The sequence below is a fragment of the Homo sapiens genome, chromosome 22 (assembly GCF_000001405.40).
Source record: "Homo sapiens chromosome 22, GRCh38.p14 Primary Assembly".
NCBI classification, from domain to species: domain Eukaryota; kingdom Metazoa; phylum Chordata; class Mammalia; order Primates; family Hominidae; genus Homo; species Homo sapiens.
In genome coordinates this window covers 38,919,657-38,937,477 of record NC_000022.11, presented here as the reverse complement: position 1 = coordinate 38,937,477, position 17,821 = coordinate 38,919,657, and the positions used below count along the sequence as shown (strand labels likewise).

The 17,821-nt window shown below is 46.4% G+C and overlaps 1 long non-coding RNA gene across 1 annotated transcript in view, besides 1 other annotated feature; it reads right to left on the bottom strand.

The window, feature by feature from the left end:
• Positions 334 to 1,155: an enhancer, noted in NCBI's record as "H3K4me1 hESC enhancer chr22:39332328-39333149 (GRCh37/hg19 assembly coordinates)". NCBI's record gives its function as "activates a minimal SCP1, AML or CMV promoter by ChIP-STARR-seq in primed H9 embryonic stem cells {active_cell/tissue: H9 hESC(primed)}" and the evidence as "EXISTENCE:reporter gene assay evidence [ECO:0000049][PMID:30033119]".
• Positions 11,019 to 17,821, bottom strand: part of LOC105373032 (uncharacterized) — a 40,173-nt gene continuing 33,370 nt past the window's right edge. Inside the window, exons 2-3 of the long non-coding RNA XR_938256.2 lie at positions 15,928 to 16,302; positions 11,019 to 13,361 (exon numbers count right to left, since the gene is read on the bottom strand). This is a non-coding gene — a long non-coding RNA (uncharacterized LOC105373032). The remainder of the gene's footprint in view (positions 13,362 to 15,927; positions 16,303 to 17,821) is intronic.

Here is a 17,821-nt window from a genome sequence, read left to right as displayed (position 1 = left end):
AACCACTTCCCAGCATGATGGCTTCTACGGTTGAGTGGGAGACTCAGTCCAGGGCCTGACTTGGGGGAGTTCAATGTTCCTTCCCTTCCCTCCATAGGGCCAGGAAAGAAAGCCAGGTGGCCAATTCCCAGGCCAGCGTCTTCTCTCTTCCCACACCTTGTGAAGCCCACCTGACCCAGTTCACCCATGCCGTGGGAAGCCCTGGGCTGGGGCCCTGTGTGGTGCAGATAAGTCCAAGCTGGCCCCTGCCCTCTGGAAGCATCAGATGGACACCAGGCCTTCACTCACTCACCGGCCTGCGCCTTTCCACTGGGATTTGGTCCCTGCTGCCCAGACTGACCATACCTGAGCCTGAGCACTCCTTGTCACATGCTAGCCCCCTGCTTCTGGGAATGACAGAGCCTGGGAAGTAAAGGCCTCCTGGAGAGGGCTGGGACACCCTGACTTTGGGTGGTACAAGATGCGACACCCAGGGGAGTCTGGGGTGAGCTATGGGCAGGATCCTTTTCTGATTCTGCGTGTGTGCATGTGTGTGTTCGTACACACGCATGCACATGTGTGCGTGTGTGCCTGTACATGCATGTGTGCACACGTGTATGCATGTGGGTGTGTGCGAGCGTGTTCATGCACACGTACGTGCATGTGAGTGTGACCAAGCCACAGAAGCGGCAGGCCCAGCCATGTGGCAGCAGGGTCCGCTGTCTACAGATATACGCAGCTCCAGAGGCCAAAGAGAGCTTCCTGGGACAGAAAATGCAAACAAAACTGGTAATGGGAGCGGGAAGATGCAGAGGCCAGACTCAGAGACAGAGGCGAAGCGTGATGGACTCAAGGGCAGAGCTGAGACCCAGGTACTCCCGACCCCTGCAGCAGTGAGTCAGCGTCACCTTTTCTCTGCTTCCTGGGACCTCCAGGGTGGTGAACTCGGCTCCTTCCCCTAAAGGCTCCTCCTCTCCTCCTGGCCTCTTTCTAGGTCTTCTCTAGCCCAGCCCTGGCCACCTGCCCTTTCTCTGGGCTCCCTCCCTCCAGGAACTGGCTCTGCCCTTCACCCCAGCCAGGACACCTCTGCTGCAGCCCCCAAATCTGCTTCTCCAGCCTGACTCCGGGAGGCACACTAGCTTTTCAGCTCTGTAAGTTTCAGGAAACCCCTGGAATGTTCTTTTCAGAATGCTGATTCAGGTGGAACTGAAACTATGTCAAAATGGGTTTTAAACTACTTCAGCAAACTTTACAAAAATGTACAGAAAATGTCCCTATTTCAGATCTTATGACTCAAAAAGCAGGTACCTCAGCCAAGGTTATACTATTTCCTATGAGTACACTGTCAACTGTGAGAAGAGTGTTCTACTAACCCTTAAGTCCAGCTTACTGATTGTTCTTATTCTAACTGCCATCTAATTTAACAATGCTTAAAATATTATAACTGTCATTAAAGTGATGCATCCACAGAATCTCTGATAATGTAGAACATGAATAAAGTAGAACAAGTCTGAAGAAATTGTATCCACGACGTCGCTGAAAAAACTAAAAAGAAAGAATACTCAACTTCCATATTTTCAGGAGGATTCCATTCCTAGGGAACTAAAAGATGTCTCAAAATCTCTGATTATATCTTCCCTTTTAGATACGATCGTTGGCCATTTGGTTTCAGCATTTAAAACATGTCTTAAATGTTTTAAGGTGCGATGGCCAGGTGCGATGGGTCAGGCCTGTAATCCTAGCACTTTGGGAGGCCGAGGCGGGCGGATCACCTGAGGTCAGGAGTTCAAAACCAGTCTGGCCAACATGTTGAAATCTCGTCTCTCCTAAAAATACAAAAATTAGCCAGGCGTGGTGGTGCGCCCCTGTAATCCCAGCTACTTGGGAGGCTGAGGCAGGAGAATCGCTTGAACCCGGGAAGTGGAGTTTGCAGTGAGCCGAGAGTGCGCCACTGCACTCCAGCCTGGCAACAGAGCAAGACTCTGTCTCAAACAAACAAAAAACAAACAACAACAGCAACAACAACAAAAACATGGTTTCCTTCATCAGTGAAAATACACCTTTCCTCGGGCCTGGTGATGCCCAGATCTACCTGAATCGAACTATTTCATTCACATCTCCTTCATTTCCCTTGCTCCTACCTGCACTTTCCTTGCCCAACGCCCTTATCTTACAAGGTCACAAGGACAGAAGGCAGGAACAGTGAAGCGCTGGTGCACGCCCTGCTATAAAGGCAGAACCTGCAGTCTTGTTGGCAGGCTGCCCGCAGCCCTGGCATGGCCACACCTGACTTTGCCATGGCACGGTGCCCGGGAGCTGGGGATGATCACACCCCATGGTGCAAATGAGGGCTAGGCTGGGGCCTGGGGTACAGCCAGGGACATGGTGGCCAGGCTCCATCTGTCACATAATCGTGGTCAAACACCAAAGAGACCAAAGCTGAGGAACACTAGAATAGAGCAAAGTGTCAATTTTATAATCCGAATGAGAAACACATGATTGATAGAACAAACACAGGGTTAAAGCATACCGGGGAAATGTTCACAGCTGATGAATCTGGGTAAAGGGTATACGGATCCTCTTTCTATGCAATTTTCTGTCAATTTGAAATAAAATTCAAAGTTTAAACAAAAAATTCAAGTATTCACCATCTCTAGGTGGTAATAGGGATAATTTCCTTTTGCAACTTTTCTCTGCTTTTCAAATTGCCTGTGATGAGGGAGTGTTGTTTTTATCATCAGAAAACATTATTAAGGGCTGGGCATGGTGGCTCATGCCTGTAATCCCAGCACTTTGGGAGGCCAAGGTGGGCGGATCACCTCAGGTCAGGAGTTCAAGCCCAGCCTGGCCAACAAGGCGAAACCCCATCACTACTAAAAATACAAAAAAATTAGCCAGGCGTGGTGGTGGGCGCCTGTAATCCCAGCTACTCCGAAGGCTAAGGCAGGGAGAATCGCTTGAACCCAGGAGGCGGAGGTTGCAGTGAGCTGAGATCACGCCACTGTACTCAAGCCTGGGCGAAAAGAGCGAGACTCTGTCTCAAAAAAAAAAACAGAAAAAAGAAAAAAAGAAAAGGAAAAGAAAAGAAATGCTCTTGGGTGGTGTGGGGCAGGGGATGGGGCTCCCAACAAGGGTGGAGTTTGCATCAAAGCTGCTGGGGGCCAAGCCAAGGTAAATGTCAATAATTAATTCCAGGGTCCCCAGATCCTGCCCCGTGCCTTTTGACTTAATGGCTACTTGGCTGCAAATGAAAAGAAAAGAGAGGGGAAGGGCTGAGACCGTCTATGACTCCCACAGCTGGTTTTCATTGGGCATCTGATTCCCAAATGTTCAGTTCCTAAGTCAGAAAGATGGGAGTGGAATGAGAAGGTGAAGAGGAAGAGAAAGGCATGGCAGGCAGAAAGCAGAGCCGAGCAGAGGAGAGAGGCGAGTAGAAGCCAGGTGTGGGAGAGGAGAGGCCAGAAACTGCAACCTGCTGTTGCTTCAGGGAGGTGGCCTTAGGGCCAAGAGGAGCAGAAACAGGGGTGAGCAGGCAGCAGAATCAGCACACAGAAGGCCTTTTAAAAAAGTGTGGCATGGGCCAGGCGCAATGGCTCACGCTGTAATCCCAGCACTATGGGAAGCCGAGGCGAGTGGATCACTTGAGGTCAGGAGTTCGAGACCAACCTGGCCAACATGGTGAAACCCTGTCTCTACTAATAATACAAAAATTAGCCAGACGTGGTGTCACGCGCCTGTAATCCCAGCTACTTGGGAGGCTGAGGCAGGAGAATCGCTTGAACCCGAAAGGCAGAGGTTGCGGTGAGCCGAGATTGCACCACTGCACTCCAGCCTGGGCAACAGAGTGAAACTCCGTCTCAAAAAAATAAAATAAAAATAAAAACAAAAGTAATGTATAGTAAGATACACACAACATCAAATTCACCATTAAGTACATTCACAGTGTTGTGCAACCATCACCACCGTCCATCTCCATAACTTTTTCATCATCCCAAATGGAAACTCTGTAGCCATTAAACACCAAATTTCCATTTCCTCCTACCTCGGCCCTTGGTAAAATATCACCAGTTTACAAAACACGCAGGATAGCGTCTACCTCAAGCCTGCAAGTATGAGTTTATAATCACTAATTCTTGTCTGTTTTGTTTTTTTCTTTTTTTTTAAATTTGGAAGGCACGTAGGATTGTAAAGGTTAGCTGCCCAAGTTTGTCCAGCCACCACTCAGAGAGCACAAATGGTAGCCCCGGCATTGCAACTTTGGGAGGCTTGAGATGGTAGACATTGTTTGTTATCTATATAGGGTTGACTGTTGTAGCCTGAAATGTTTGGCTCATTCTTTTAAAAAAACTAAATCTTCTTAGAGTCTTTCCTCTAATTGTGCTCAAGTGAGCTCCAGAATCAGATTAAATAACCACAGATTCAAAGTGTGACAACTGTATCCTGTTTCATTATACAAATAGAAGTCTTGGGAAGTTTGCAAGTTGCCCAGAATACAAGCACTAGGCAAATTCAGATAGTTTGCAAGATTAGAGTCCAATCCTGTGGTCATTGGTAGACAGGCAAATTTAATTGAAGAGGTGTCACTGAATTCAAAAACTGAAAATACTTCAAAAAATAACATTGAATCAAATAGGTTTCAAAATTATTCCATGCAAAGGGAGATTATGGATAAAGGGAGTTGGCAACTGAGCATGCTAAATCAAATTCAGCTTTCATGATAAAATGGATTTACTATTTGCATTTGTTTAACAATGCCTCCCTAAAAGTCACCAGCTTCAAGAGTTATACATTGTATTGAAACGAATCTTAACTTATTAGGGGAAATAGTCATAGCAGGTAGCCAGTAGCCAGTGACAAAATACCAGCTGTGAAAATTGAGGCAAATTGAGAAACTAGAAGCTTTTCCACTAAGATCAGGAACAAAGCAAGGATGCCCCCTCTCTCACACTGCTTTTCAACATCTTACTGGAAGTCCTAACTAATGCAATAAGACAGGAAAAGAAATAAAAGGTATACAGATCAGGAGCAAGGAAATAAAGCTGTCTTTGTCTGCAGATAACATGACCATTGTCTTCGTCCATTGGGGCTGCTATAACAAAATATCTTAAACTAAGTGATTTATAAACAATAGAAATGTATTGCTCACAGTTCTAGAGACTGGGAAGTCCAAGATCAAGGTGCCAGCAGATTTGGTATCTGGTGAGGGCCCATTCCTCATAGATGGTGGAAGGGGCAAGCATGCTCCCTCTGGCCTCTTTTATAAGAGCACTAATCCCATTTATGAGAGTGGAGCCTAATCACCTTCCAAAAGCCCCACCTCTTAATACTATTGCATTGGCTATCAGTTTTTAACACACACACACACACACACACACACATATATATATATATATATATATTTTTTTTTTTTTTTTTGAGATGGAGTCTCGCACTGTCGCCCAGCCTGGAGTGCAGTGGTGCAATCTTGGCTCACTGCAAGCTCTGCCTCCCAGGTTCATGCCATTCTCCTGCATCAGCCTCCCAAGTAGCTGGGACTACAGGCACCCGCCACCACACCCGGCTACTTTTTTTGTATTTTTAGTAGAAACGAGGTTTCACCATGTTAGCCAGGATGGTCTCGATCTCCTGACCTTGTGATCCGCCCGCCTCGGCCTCCCAAAGTGCTGGGATTACAGGCATGAGCCGCCGCACCTGGCCTAACATACAAATTTTGAGAGGATCCAAACATTCATACCACAAAGCATTTGTCTACATAGAAAATCTTAAAGAATTGTCAAAAAGAAACTTCTGGAACTAATAAGCAATTATATAAAGGTTGCCAGATACAAGGTTAATATACAAAAGTCAATAGCTTTCCTTTATACCAGCAATGAGCAGGTGAATTTGAAATTAAGAACACAATACCATTTACATTAGCACTCAAAAAAAAGAAATACTTTGATATAAATATAGCAAAATATGTACAAGATAGATATAATGAAAACCATAAAACTGATGAAAGAAATAAAAAACTAAATAAATGAAAAGATATGGCTGGTCACGGTGGCTCATGCCTGTAATCCCAACACGCTGGGAGGCCGAGGTGGGTGGATCACAAGGTCAGGAGTTTGAGACCAGCCAGACCAACATGGTAAAACCCCGTCTCCACTAAAAATATAAAAATTAACCAGGTGTGGTGGCGTGTGCCTGTAATCCCAGCTACTCAGGAGGCTGAGGCAGGAGAATCACCTGAACCCAAGAGGTGGAGGTTGCAGTGAGCCGAGATGGTACCATTGCACTCCAGCCTGGGCAATAGAGTGAGACTGTCTCAAAAAAAAAAAAAAGAAAAGAAAAGATATTCCATGTTTATGGATAGGAAAGCTTGATATTGCCAAGATGTCTATTCTTTCCAATTTCATCTATGGATTCCATGCAATCTAAATCAAAATGTCAGCAAGTTATTTTGTGGATATCAAGAAACATTCTGAACTTTATATGGAGAGGCCAAAGACCCAGAATAGCAACATAACACTGAAGGAGAAGAACAAAGTTGGAGGCCTGAAGTTAGCTGACTTAAAACGTATTTAAAAGCTATAGTAATCAAGACCATGTGGTATTGGTGAAATAGACAAATAGATAATGGAACAGAATAGAGAGCCCTGAAATAGACCCACATAAACAGTCAACTGATCTTTGACAAAAAAGCAAAGGGAATACAATGTTATGGTTTGCTTGGTCTCCTGCCAAGTCTCATGTTGAAAGCCAAGTCTCGTGTTGAAGTTTGATCCCTGATGTTGGAGTTGGGGCCTAGTGCGAGGTGTTTGGGTCATGGGAGTAGATCCCTCCTCAAAAACCTGCTGCTGTTCTTGAGGTAGTGAATGAGTTCTTGTTCTATTCATTCCTCGAGAGCTGATTGTTTAAAAAAGCTTGACACCTTCCTCCTCTCTCTCTCTTCCTTCCCCTCTTGCCATGTGATACCTGCTCCCCTTTGCCTTCTACCCTGAGTGGAAGCAGCCTGAGGCCCTCCCCAGATGCAGATGCTGGCACCATGCTTACTGTATAGCCTGCAGACTGCAGAACCATGAGCCAAATAAACTTCTTTTCTTTATAAATTACCCTGCCTCGAGAATTCTTTTATAGCAATACAAATAGACTAAGACACAAAGATCCTCTTTTTTTTTTTTTTTTGAGACAGGGTCTCACTCTGTCGCCCAGGCTGGAGTGCAGTGGCACGATCTCGGCTCACTGCAAACTCCACCTCCCAGGTTCAAGCAATTCTCCCGCCTTAACCTCTCCAGTAGCTGGAATTACAGGCACCCACCACCGCGCCTGGATAATTTTTGTATTTTTAGTAGAGACAGGGTTTCACCATGTTGGCCAGGCTGGTCTTGAACTCCTGACCTCGGGTGATCTGCCCACCTCGGCCTCCCAAAGTGCTGGGATTACAGGTGTAAGCCACCATACCTGGCCCAATAAATGGTGATGGAACAACTGGACATCCATATGGAAAAGAAAAAGTGATTCTAGATACAGACCTTACACCATTTATAAAAACTAACTCAAAAAGGATCATAGATCTAATTGTAAAATGCAAAAGTATAAAACTCCTCAAAGATAACATAGGAAGAAACCTAAATGAGTTTGGTTATGACAATGACTTTGTAAATACAATAACCAAAGGCCTGACCCACGAAAGGAATAATTGATGAGCTGGACTTGATTAAAATTAAAAACTGCTGCTCTGCATGTGTGGGGCAGGGAACATATGGGAAATCTCTGCATCTTCAAATTTTTCTGTGAACCTAAAACTGCTTTTGAAAAAAAGTCTTTAATTAAAAAAAAAACTTTTAAAGAAAAAAATGAGACAAATGAGTTGACAAATTCCTGAGAAAGCAAAGTAAATCGTTTGTCAAAATAATTATTGGACAATACAAAACTAGCCCAAATCTAAAATTTATAAATTAAAATTATAATTATATAAAACAAGTTTTGGAATGGATGTAAAATTTCTTTGGGTCCAAGAATGATCTTTTTCACCAATTCCCACTATTCAGATGTTGTTGAACACATCAGCACTGTGAAAGAAAAAACAAGTTATGGGGGAAAATATCTCAGAGTAAGTGGATCTGATTTTTTTTTTTTTTTTTTTTTGAGACGGAGTCTCACTCTGTTGCCAGGTCTCCAACTCCCCGGTTCAAGCAATTCTCCTGCCTCAGCCTCCTGAGTAGTTGGGATTACAGGCATGTGCCACCATGCCCAGCTAATTTTTGTATTTTTAGTAGAGACGGGATTTCACCATGTTGGCTAGGATGGTCTCGATCTTCTGACCTCATGATCTGCCTGCCTGAGCCTCCCAAAGTGCTGGGATTACAGGCATAAGCCACCACGCCTGGCCAGATCTGACTTTTAAGGCTACAAATAAACCACAGACTGATGTCAAATAGACAGAAACATTTGAATGCTGTGAAAAGACAAATGACACCCACAAAATACAAGGAAGAGAGGCACAGTTAAGATGTATAAAAAAGAAGGTGGTGGCTGGGTGCGGTGGCTCATGCCTGTAATCCCAGCACTTTGGAAGGCCAAGGTGGATGGATCACCTGAGGTCAAGAGTTCAAGACCAGCCTGGCCAACATGCCGAAACCCCGTCTCTACAAAAATACAAAAATTAGCCAGGCATGATGGCAGGTGCCTGTAATCCAAGCTACTTGGGAGGCTGAGGCAGGAGAACTGCTTGTACCCGGGAGACGGAGGTTGCAGTGAGCCGAGATCATGCCATTGCTCTCCAGACTCAGCGACAGAGCAAGACTCTGTCTCAAAAAAAAAAAAAAAAAAAAAAAAAAAAGGTGGCTTTTGGCTTATTAAAATATTGTACTTTTTTTTACTTTTTTTTTTGAGATGGAGTTTAGCTCTTGTTGCCCAGGCTGGAGTGCAGTGGCACGATCTCAGCTCACTGCAACCTCTCCCTCCTGGGTTCAAGCAATTCTCCTGCCTCAGCCTCCCAAGTAGCTGGAATTACAGGTGCCACGACCACACCTGGCTAATCGTTTGTATTTTCAGTAGCGACAGGGTTTCCTCATGTTGGCCAGGCTGGTCTCGAACTCCTGACCTCAGGTGATCCACCCATCTCGGCCTCCCAATGGGCTGGGATTACAGGCATGAGCCACTTCAGCCAGCCTTGTATACTTTTTTATTTTATTTTATTTTGAGACAGAATCTCACTCTGTCACACAGGCTGGAGTGCAGTGGTATGATCTCGGCTCACTGCAACCTCTGCCTCCCAGGTTCAAGCAATTCTTCTACCTCAGCCCCTTGAGTAGCTGGAATTACAGGCGCGGGCCACTACACCTGGCTAATTTTTGTGTTTTTAGTAGAGACAGGGTTTCACCATGTTGGTCAAACAGGTCTCGAACTCCTGACCTCGTGATCTGCCCGCCTCGGCCTCCCAAAGTGCTGGGATTACAGGTGTGAGCCACTGCGCCTGGCCTCTTATTCACTTTTTTAAAAGAGGATTTCAAAGCATCTGGAAAACATGCCTGCTGTTGGAAACCCTGCACGGCAAATTCAGTTTGCAAGCGTCATTCAGATGTTGGTTGACGACAATACACCCGCCTCTCGGGCTGAGCGGTTGCGCCGTGTTGGGTCCTTTTTCTGTCACTCGGTGACACTCCAAGTTCTGTGCAGTCCTTGGTACAAACAAGGCATGGTTTGGAGGGAAGGGACGATGGTGTTTGCATTGCTTGGGGAACAACCCAGCTAGCATTTTCCACATACTCTGCATATACTATCCAGTTTATGACACTGGAGAATCTTGCGTCTTCTGCTGGGAATCATTGGCTCTTCCTCCCCCATATTCACAGAATCTTGCCAGTCTTCGAACAGGTGGGGGTCAGTGACTGTGAGAACAGGCACCCCAGTCCCGGCTTTGAGTCTCCGTTCTGCTCCAATCTGCCCAGGCGTCTCCTTTCACTACCAGCTGCTAAGTAATCTCCTCTCCGACAGCTCGGCCAGGGCGACTCACAGCGCCCCCTGCCCTGCAGCCAGTGATCTATCCCGCTGCTCATTCCCCGGGGATCTGCCACCTCCAGCGCCGGTGCTGCCATCTGCTCTGGCCGCAGCCCGCCAGGGGACGCAGGGCCCAGGACGGGCAATGGGGGGGTGCCGCCCTCCCCAGCCCCCTCTGCGGCAACCCCCCCCCCCGCCCCCGGCAGCCTGAATCCCACCCACCCCGGGCCGCGACACTCCCACCACCGCCCGGGTGGCACCAGGCTCGCGCCACGAGCCGGGGTTGTGAGGACTCAGCGACTCTAGCAGCGCCGCGCACTGGGAATCTTTGAACAGTGCGTTGATCTTTGTGTTTTAATTACCACTGTCGCCCTTAGACCCAACACTCTAGTTTCTATTTATTTATTTATTTTTGAGACAGAGTCTCACTCTGTCGCCCACAGTGGAGTGCAGTGGTGTGATCACGGCTCACTGCAACGTCTGCCTCCTGGGTTCAAGCGATTCTCCTGACTCAGCCTCCTGAGTAGCTGGGATTACAGGCACCTGCCACCACGCCCGGCTCATTTTTGTATTTTTAGTAGAGACAGAGTTTCGCCATGTTGGCCAGACTGATCTTGAACTCCTGACCTCGGGTGATCCGCCCGTCTCAGCCTCCCAAAGTGCTGGGATTACAGGTGTGAGCCACCACGCCCGGCCTCGTTTTTAAAAATGAGTGTTTTTAAACACTCCTATTGGGAGGCTGGGCGCAGTGGCTCACACCTGTAATCCCAGCGCTTTGGAAGGCCGAGGCAGGTAGATCGCCTGAGGTCAGGAGTTCGAGACCAGCCTGGCCAACATGGCGAAACGCCGTCTCTACTAAAAATACAAAAATTAGCCAGGTGTGGTGGTACACATCTGTAATCCCAGCTACTTGGGAGGCTGAGGCAGGAGAATCACTTGAATCTGGGAGGCAGAGGTTGCAGTGAGCTGAGTTCACACCACTGCACTCCAGCCTGGGTGACCAGAGCGAAAACCTGTTTCAAAAAAAAAAAAAAAGAATTATTATATTGGGAGTATTTTGTTGTTTTTGTTGTTGTTAATTGAAAATCCATACCAATACTGAGAAAATCTCTCATTTTTTGTGTGTTACTGGCAAAGAGAAAATGGAAGAATGGCAACTAGAAGAACAAAACTTGGACACAGATGAGTGTCTATAAACGAGGGCCCTGGGCTTGGGGCTGAGGCTGGGTGCCAGTCAGTGTCAGCTCTCAGGAAGGGAACTGGGCAAAGGGATTTCTGTCCTTTTTGGATTTGTGTACCCACTTGTTTTGGACAGAAGAGGCTGGGTTATGCTACAGGAACAAACCTCCATGATCTCAGTGGCCTAAGTTCATGAAGCCTTTTTCTTGCTTAAGTTAAATATCCATGAAGTGGAGAGGGGCAGTCTATACCCAGTCCTCACTAAGGGACACAGGCTGACACAGACCCCTGTCTGGAACATTGACCACAGGGTCAAGGCAGTGATGACGCACGTTGTTCCCTGGCCGTTAAAGCTTGTACCTGGCAGGGATGTGTCACTTTCACTCCCATTTCATTGGCCAAAGCAAATCACGTGTTCACACCTAACCTCAATGATGCGGGAAAGCCTGACTCCACCATGGGCCCAAAAAGGGAGAAAGGGATGTTTCAGTGTAGCGACAGGATGATGACCAGCACATCATCCTGTCACTGCACTTGGTCAACTTCTTTGTGAAGGTCTGAACCAATAAGTAAGCCAAGGAAAAGGGAAGAGATGTGATCATTGGAAAGAAGCCACATTTGTCATCATTTCTAGGTTATTTTTCTATCCCCTGTCCACTTAAGAGGGCCATGCCTGGCAGAAGTTTGCATCAGTGCCCAGCCCACAGAGGCATGAGTAGGCCTGGGCACGGAGTACACAGTTACCCAGTATGCTCCTTACCTACCTGGCACCTCTTGGCTGACAGAAAAGCAAAAAGCTTCAATAGGTGAGAACCAGGGGAAAGAGACTTAAAACAAAGTATTAATAAATCATATTCACATAGGGCTTCTCGCTTGCAAGTTATAGTTTATGTCTGTTATTTTTTAATTTTCATGGTTATTGTAGTAGATATGTCACACTGTATCTCCAATTCACCAAAATGGATCAATGACTAAAAAGAGGTTCTATAAAATGCAAAGTAATGATGAAAATGGCAGCATAAATCCTCAGAAGGGCACTGTAAACATAATGAGTAAATGGTTCTGCAATATAACTATGGAAATACAAAACTATATATTCAAGGACAAACAAGTTCTTGAGTGGTGATTTTACACATGCAACCATAAATGAAAATTGTGAGTCTAAGTTCAGTGAGGAATACTTGAACATTTCATTTATTGGACAAGCAATCCATTTGCCCCTAGTCCTCGATATATTACTGTTAAAATGAAAATGCTGATATATAGTAGTCTGGAGCCATAAAAAGTGTTTCTCATTATCTTTAGAAAAAGCAACCAATTCCATTTTTCCAGAATAAGCACAAAATAACTTTCTAATGTAAAATTGATTATTCTTCTTATTAAAGGTGCGGAGGAGACTAAAGCTACAGAAACATCATTCTAAATTGCTGTCCTCTTAGCAAATGCACCTAGATATCAGTCGTAAAATTGCCAAGAAGACCGTAAATCAGCTCACAGATCATAATGAAGACTGTGCTTGGAGAGAGATCCAAAGGATATTGACAAAGCTCCTCTATCAGATAACAGAGCACACAAAGCAGAAATGCAATTACTAGTGCACACACATGTTAGCCAATACTTTGCTTTTGAGCAAACCAAACTCCTCATGTGCAAGGCATAAAACAGCCCTTGGTGCATGTGGGGTTCAAATATGAGGGAAAAATGCTGCCTGGCTTGTCGCTTTGTTTTTCGTGCCAAAGTATGATAAGAGGCTTTTCATTTACAGATTATTTACTTTGTGAGTCATGTGCTAGAAATGGCACTTCAGGACCCGTGCCAGAGTTGAAGCCGCTGTGGCTGAGCAGCGAAGAGCTTTGCTCTGTGAATAAAAGAGGTTGTTCCTCATGCTGCTTTATTCACAGAGAAGAGTTAATGGTCAACAAAATGCTTCTGGACCCTGATTCAGGGTTAAAGGAAGTAATAAAAAGAATACAAACTTCGTCTAATTCTGGATGAGCTCAATATTGGCACAGCTTTTCAGCCTGCTGTGAGGAAACACAGGTAGTATGCAGGTCAGTACACTTCCAGTCGGGGATGACAGAAATTCAATTTCAAGTGGATTAAACAATAAATGGAACCAATTAAAGCATTTGTGATGTCAGGGCTCTGGCTCTGGCTCGCTGCAGGTGCCTTGGCTCTGTTCTCTTCCTTGCGTTGCCTTCTTTTCAGACCAGCGTCTCCTGTGGTAGAAAAATTGTTACAGCAGCGCCAAGCCCACAGTACGCCCCACCTATCTGGACCAACAGAGAGTCTCTGTCTCCCACAATTCCCAGGAAGGTCCTGAGGTTAGCATGGATTAGACTGGCTCAGGGCACGTGTCCACTCCTGAGCCAATCACGGTGTGGCTGGGGGTGGAACCCACTTACTGCTCCACCCCTGCCCTGATGGCAGCAAACAGCAAAGCAGCAGCAAAAAGGAGAGAAGGGAGTGAGGGAAGAAAGGAGGAGGGAGCAGAGGAAGGGAAGGAGAGAAAGGAGGGAGGGAAGAAAGGAGGAGGGAGCAGAGGAAGGGAAGGAGAGAAGGGAGGGAGGGAAGAAAGGAGGAGGGAGGAGAGGAAGGGAAGGAGAGAAGGGAGGGAGGGAAGAAAGGAGGAGGGAGGAGAGGAAGGAGGAAGGGAGGGAGAGAGAGGAAGAAAGAAATGAAGATCTCATGGATATGAGAACATAATTAATGTTTCAAACACTCTCTTTAAATTTAAAATCATTGATGAAACTCTACTTTTTTTTGAATTACAATTGATGATCTATGAATGTGCCAAATGCCCATTCAGTGGTCTGTGGTGTGAAACGTTGAGAAAGGATGCCTCGAGATGCTTCTAACACCTAAAAATACCCCTTGCAGGCCAGCTGTGGTGGCTCATGCCTGTAATCCCAGCACTTTGGGAGGCCGAGACAGGCGGATCACTTGAGGTCAGGAATTTGAGACCAGCCTGGCCGACATGGTGAAACCCCGTCTCTACTAAAATACAAAAATTAGCCTTGCATGGTGGTGTGCCCCTGTAGTCCCAGCTACTTGGGAGGCTGAGGCATGAGAATCACTTGAACCTGGGAGGCGGAGGTTGCAGTGAGCCGAGATCACGCCATTGCACTCCAGCCTGGGCAACAAGAGTGAAACTCTGACTCAAAGGGTCATGGACCCTTTGCAGATCCATGTTCTCCTAAGTAGCAAATACTTAGGCAATTATTACAAATGAATTCCCCTAATAAAACTCTCCTCCCACCTCCTCCTCACAGGACATGGAGTCAGTGCATGGCAGGGAGAGAGCTGGGAGCGTCAGGCCAGGCTTTCCACTGCGGTGTCTTTCTGGGTGTCAGCTGCACCACTGTCCTGAACTCTGTGCTGACCGGGCACTAGTCTGGTGTTTGAGACCACAGTGGGGACAGCACCAGCCCCACGTCGTTGGCGCTGTCTACAGGCTGTCCCCACCAAGGCAGCCCCTCTCTCTGCCCGGTCCTCTGTGGCTCTGCTTCTCCTTCAGCTCCTTCATCCTACCCCCTTGTCAGTCTGGTTTCTCTGTTTGTACAAGGATTTGACACCTGTCCCAAAAGGGCACCCTCAGCTCTGGGTCTCCTCACCTTCCAGGTCTGACAGCCAAGGCTAACCTATGATAACCACTGGTTCTCGATTCTAAATCTCCAGAAGAGAGAATCTGATTTGTGCAGCCTGCATCAGGCATCCACTCCTGGACCAACCAGGAAGCCTACGGGGCCCACCAGTGTGGGTAATATGAGAAACATGCTCACCTGTCCAAACCCAAAGGATGAACTTAGAGACATAGAGAATTGCAGAGGTGAGACTTGTGTTGTTGTTGTTGTTTTGTTTTTGTTTTGTTTTGTGACAGAGTTTCACTCTTGTCACTCAGGCTGGAGTGCAATGGTTCCATCTCGGCTCACCGCAACCTCCGCCTCCTGGGTTCAAGTGATTCTCCTGCCTTAGCCTCCCGAGTAGCTGGGATTACAGGCATGCACCACCATGCCCAGCTAATTTTGTAGGTTTTTTCTTTGTTTTTGTTTTTTTTTAGTAGAGATGGGGGTTTCTCCATGTTAGTCAGGCTGGTCTTGAACTCCCGACTTCAGGGGATCTGCCTGCCTTGGCCTCCCAAAGTCTGGGATTACAGGCATGAGCCACTGCGCCCAGCCAGAAGTGAGACTTTTAATGACAGTCTTGCAAGATCTGGTGTCTGGTAGGCAGGCACACCCAGTACAGTTACAACAAGCAATGTATCCCCTAGTAGGCAAGTCCCTCCCCCGGTTCCTCATAGGCTGAGTACCATGGGGTCACCATCTTCCCAGACATCACCTATTGGTCGTTGGGTTGGGGCTTTTAGGTGTTTACTTTAGGGTTGTCTCGCTGCAGTTTGTTGTGGCCCATAATGCACTGCAATCATAGTCAGCTAAGGTGCTCTTCAAGTATTTGACTTATGACCCAGGTGGCCAGGCAAGCTGATAAGAATAGATAAAGTGAGCTATTTTTCAGGCTAGTAAACTTTCATTCTAGACTAAACGCTTTGCTTTGGGTGGGGGTAACTAAGGGGGCCCTGACCAGCAGGGGTCTAGTATATCCTGTCCATCCGCAGGTTGTGGGCCCAAGCCTATTTGAGGCACTTTGCCTTGGAAATGGGCCACCGTAGACATTATTTCCTACAGTAGGAGAGAAGCTTGAAGCAAAGGGGACATTGACTCCGTAAGTACTTTAAAGCATGTCTACAAATCCTTTGAAAGACATCCTGACATCCTCCAAACGTACCTTGTGAAGACGGCTCATAAGGGCAACGCAGCCTAGATGGAGCAACAGGTGGACAGTCTCAAGCCGACCGTGCAGAATTAGGAAAAGCCCCAGCAGACCAGAAAAATCTCCATTCCCTGGTGACATGGGGAGAAAGCTGGCCTGACATGGCTCCAGAGCTGGCAGCACCTCTGGGTCCTGATAGAAGTCTGGGTGGCTGCCAAGCTGAGTCATCCAGGAGCTAAGGGAAACGACCTACCTGTAGCTAAGACCAAGCCTCACACCCCATCACCTGGGCTGGATCTTGTTCTCCTGCCAGATCTGTCGTATCTTTATTGGCTCTCCCAGTGACGGCTTCTGTGGTTGGAAATCATTCATTAGTTTTGCTGCCTGAAACTGAACCATAAATGAGGCACTGAGACAGGGGAAAAGCCTGGTCCATGTCGAGATCTGAGCTCAACCCTAGACCTAAGCTCCTGACTCCATACCCTGATTAGCAACAGCTGCCATCACAAAACCAATTTTTTTTTTTTGAATTTCGCTCTTTTTGCCCAGGCTGGAGTGCAATGGTGCAATCTCAGCTCACTGCAACCTCTGCCTCCTGGGTTCAAGCGATTCTCTTGCCTCAGCCTCCTGAGTAGCTGGGATTACAAGCACATGACACCATGCCCACCTAATTTTGTATTTTTAGTAGAGCCAGGGTTTCACCATGTTGGCCAGACTGGTCTCGAACTCTTGACCTCAGGTGATCCGCCCGCCTCGGCCTCCCAAGGTAGTGGGATTACAGGCATGAGCCACCATGCCCAGCAGACAAAACTAACTTTCTAAGCTTTTAACATGACCCTCAGACATTAACCAAGATGCTTGTCTAGACCACAAGCCCATTTTTCTTTTGTAGAATTTGCATTTCTCTCCTTGCATAAGAAGGAAGTATCCAGTGATGGTGAGAAAAACATGGGATCAGCAAGACCTGGGTTCGAGCCCTAGATTCCCCACTTAGGAGCCACAGAGTCTCACTCAGGAGGCTCACTTCTATGAGGCTGAATCTTGATTGGGAAATTTGTGATAAATCTCCTATGAGAATTAAGTGAAAGACCCTAATATCAAATGCCTGACACATACTTGGACCTCAAATTTGAGCCCTTTTGCTCTCCTTAGAGGAGGGATGAAAGCATAACTTATCCTGAGTGCAGATGCACCTCATTTAATTGGGATTCACTTTACTGAGTCACAGATGCTGTGTTTTTTTTTACACATGGAAGGTTTTTGGCAACCCTGCATCGAGCAAGTGTATTGGCATGATTTTCCCAACAGTAGGTACTCACTTTCAGGTCTCTGTGTCACATCGGTAAATTCCCACAATATTTCAGACTTTTTCATTATTATTATATCTGTTACAGGGATCTGTGATCAGTGTCTTTGATGTTACCACTGTAATTGTTTTCAGGCATCACAAACCACACCCACATAAGACAGCAAACTTAGTTGATAAATGTTGTGTGTGTTCTGACTGCTCCACCAACAGCTGTTCCCCATCTCTCTCCCTCTGCCCTGGCCTCCCTATTCTCTGAGATGTAACAATATTGAATTTAGGCCAATTAATAACCCTACAATGGCCTCTCAGTGTTCAAGTGAAAGGAACTGTCACATATCTCTTGCTTTCAATCAAAAGCTAGAAATGATTAGGCTTAATGAGGAAGGAATGTCAAGAAACAAGATAGGCTGAAAGCTAGGCCTCTTCCACTATGCAGTTAGCCAAGTTGTGAATGCAAAGGAAAAGCCTTTGAAGGAAATTAAAAGTGCCACTCCAATGAGTACATGAATGATAAGAAAGTGAAACAGGCTTACTGCTGATATGGAGAAAGTTTGAGGGGTCTGGATAGAAGATCAAACCAGCCATGACATTCTCCTAAGC